Below are 3,567 nucleotides of genomic sequence, written 5' to 3'. Positions count from 1 at the left end.
TTTTTCTTTTGCTCTTGCCCACAGCAACTAATGACAATGGGCATTTTAAAATATCAAAAGTTAGATCCCTGAAATCACCCACATTATTAAAATGACCTTTGTTTAAAGTATAAAAAAGTACATTAAAATATTGTATGTGAGGATGTATGTTTACAAAGTGAAGAATAGCAATATTAATGAGGGCTGGAAGAAAGGATCACTCACTAGCCTTCTAAGACTAATCTGTTATTATTATTTAATATCGTGCCATCATTGACCAAATTGCCAATTGGTTCTGAAATTGTCAACTAGAAACATGGCACAGTTATATAAGCAAATTATTATTTCCCAATAAGTTGTTAGCTCCCTAAACCACTTGTTATGAAAATAGTTTGAATTGAACTTGCCAATTTCATAATTTGATGATCACTGAGTTTCCCTTTCACAAAGGTTTAGTCTGGCCCTTACATTAAATCAAATTCCCATACGGCTGTATCCCTTCACCACCTTCCAACCCCTCACGACCTACCACACACACCCAGGCCCACAGGCACACCATGAACCCTGCCTACTCACCGAGGGGGTTAGCTGTTTTTTTGTTTGTTTGTTTGTTTTTTGAGACAATGTCTTGCTCTGTCGCCCAGGCTGGAGTGCACTGGTGCTATCTTGGCTCACTGAAACCTCTGCCTCCCAGGTTCAAGCAATTCTCCTGCCTCAGCCTCCCGAGTAGCTGGGACTACAGGCGCCTGCCACCGTGCCTGGCTAATTTTTGTATTTTTAGTAGAGACGGGGTTTCACCATGTTGACCAGGCTGATCTCGAACTCATGACCTCAAGATCCACTCACCTCGGGCTTCCAAAGTGCTGGGATTACAGGTGTGAGCCACCGCGCCCGGCCTTAGCCTTTTATTGGATGATGTAGTTCAGACAACTTTTAACCTGCTGCTGCTAAAACAAAACGGTTTTGGTTTGGTTCCCATTCATAGCTTGTTTAAAATACAATTGACAGGGAACAATCCAGAGAGGGAGGACTCAGTAACGTTGCCAAAAAAATTCTTCTGTTAATACGCTCATTTCTCTGAATTAAGAGCTCAAACCTCACATGTGAGGAGTATGTGTGTTCATCTTATCTTTGTCTTCAAGTTTGATACTCAGAGCAGCCCACTCGTAAGTTTAATGTGTTTCTACACTAGAAAAAGGAATGAAACAGCATTTACTGGGACTCACCATGAGCCAGGCATTGAGGGAGATTTCACCCAGGCTTCAGTTAATGAACTCTTCAATAATCCTTTGAGATTGGAATGATTATAACATCCCCCAATTTACAAATAAGGTAACTGAGACTCAGAAACTAAATTTGATCTTAATAGTAAGTGACCTGGATCTGAATCCAGGGAAAATTGGGTCTGTTTAAGAAAAACTGAATCTGATTTCTGGGCTGGCAGTCTGCTGGGAAGATACAAAATGTTGTCCAAATGGGTCAGTAGGCAGTGGGCATTTTGTAATACCCCGCACAACCTACAATTAATGAGTATTTGAGTTGACGTTTCTTTAATATTTGCCTTTCCTGTTTCCTTGTAAGCTCTATGAGAGGATGTAGTTAGTTTCATCTATCGCCCTATTTCCAGTGCTAGCACGTAGGAGGCGTTCGCTAAATATCTTTTGACTATCTAATGTGCTCTGCCTCTTCTGCTCATTTTCTCAGAGACATCTAAGCAGATTGGCACAAGGACAGAATAATCCTGGATATACCCACTAACAGACTTCTCTGTCAATTTAATCCTGCGCCTCACCAATGCCCCTTATCTTTTAGAAGCCAACAATAGCCAGCTTTTAGCTAATTGCTTTCAAATCTATTAGGAGTGTTTCCAAGTAGAATAATAATCGATTTAGTCATTATTGAACTCTGACAGTATGCCACGTACTTAAGCACATACATGCATCATCTTACAGTAGATGTTATTCTACCAATTTTATGGATTAAAATTTGTACTGTGGTGTGGGCACTGTGGCTCGGGAGGACCTGCCAGACCATCTGAAGGACAGCTGTAGCACCGCCCTGGTGCTATGCTCATTCAAAGACTCCAGCTGCAAGCACTGGCGCCCTAAGCTGGCAATGGCACGGCATGTGGAGGACAGTGTGAAGCCACATCTGGCCATGATGTGTGCTCTGTTGAGTTGGCAATGGCAGGAGCTGCAGGACCTTCAGCAAGAGCTGGAGGAGCTATCAGTGGGCAGTGATGGTATGCTCATCTGGAAGATTGGCAGCTATGGTCGGTGGCTACAGAAGGCCAAGGCCAAGCCCAACCTTGAGTGCTTCAGCCCAGCCTTCTACACACATAAGTATGGTTACAAGCTGCAGGTGTCTGCATTCCTCAATGGCAATGGCAGTGGCGAGGGCACACACCTCTCACTGTACGTTGGCTTGCTGCCTGGTGCCTTTGACAATCTCCTTGAGTGGCCCTTTGCCCACTGTGTCACCTTCTCCCTGCTGGATCAGAGCAACCCTGGGCTGGCTAAACCACAGCATGTCACTGAGACCTTCCACCCCTGCCTAAACTGGAAGCCGGGCACTTGGAGTGGGGGCTCCCTGGATGAGAGATCTTCCTAAGTTCATCTCCCACCAGGACATCCGAAAGCAAAATACTATGTACAGTGTGGGGAACAGGTCTTGGGGTCATCAAGGGCTGGAAACAAGTGACCCCAGGGCCTGTCTCCCTTCTTAGGTAGGGCAGACATGCCCTGGTGCCGATCACACTCTACCCGCACTGAGGTGCTTGCTCAGGTGCTATGTCCCAAGAGCCATAGGTGGGTGGGAGTTGGGGATGGAGAAAGGGTAGTTCAAAGAATCTGTCTTGAGATCTGATTTTTTTTCCCCTTTCCCTAGCTGTGCCCCCTCTGGTTATTTATTTCCTTAGTGCCAAGAGGGCAAAGCAGAGGGGCCCTGATTTTTAAGAAATCCGTAAGTGTATTTTTTAGAAAAAAAACTACTTTAGAAAGGTTAGGCTACTTCTCCTAGAAGGAAGAATTATGAAGAAGGAGGAGATAAAAAGCAAAAAGGGAGATGGGACAGCCTCTCTGGAGATGAAAAAGAGCCTAGTAACACAGATATTCAAATTTCTCAGACCTGAACCCACACCACTCTGACCCCTTCCCCCATTCTGCACGGCTGCCTGGGGCATCCCTGGGGAGTGCCGCATATGCGAGCCCATTCATGATCCTTCACTCTGGCCTTCTGGAAAGTTCAACTGCCTTCAGAATGATGCCTCAACTCTTCCTTTGTGACGTGGTTTCTCTTCCCTCAAAGCAACATTCAGGAGTGCCTAATACTGCAGCCCTCAAGGCACTGCCAAATGGGTCACCTTCCCTTTGGTTCCCAATGCTCCCAAACCCTGAACTGGGCTCCACCCACATGTGGAGAAAATAGCCTGTCCAGGACTGAAATCCACACTATGAGGCCTTTTTGAGGAAGATGTACTGGATTTCCTGCCCTTCATCCCCAGGATCTATCGATATCATCACCTGCACTAAAACTTTCCCTCTCCAACTCTTTTCTTCCCCATGAAATAGGTGCCTGGGGAGGCACGTA

General features: G+C 45.4%; 1 pseudogene; it reads left to right on the top strand.

Annotated features, from left to right (window-relative positions):
- LOC100420513 (TNF receptor associated factor 4 pseudogene) lies at window positions 1,972-2,823 on the top strand (annotated as a pseudogene).
- Window positions 2,824-3,567: the final 744 nt, after the last annotated feature.

Source organism: Homo sapiens, chromosome 5 (assembly GCF_000001405.40).
Source record: "Homo sapiens chromosome 5, GRCh38.p14 Primary Assembly".
NCBI lineage: Eukaryota > Metazoa > Chordata > Mammalia > Primates > Hominidae > Homo > Homo sapiens.
The sequence above is the reverse complement of the archived record's forward strand: the minus strand, read 5'-3'. Positions and strand labels throughout refer to the sequence as shown.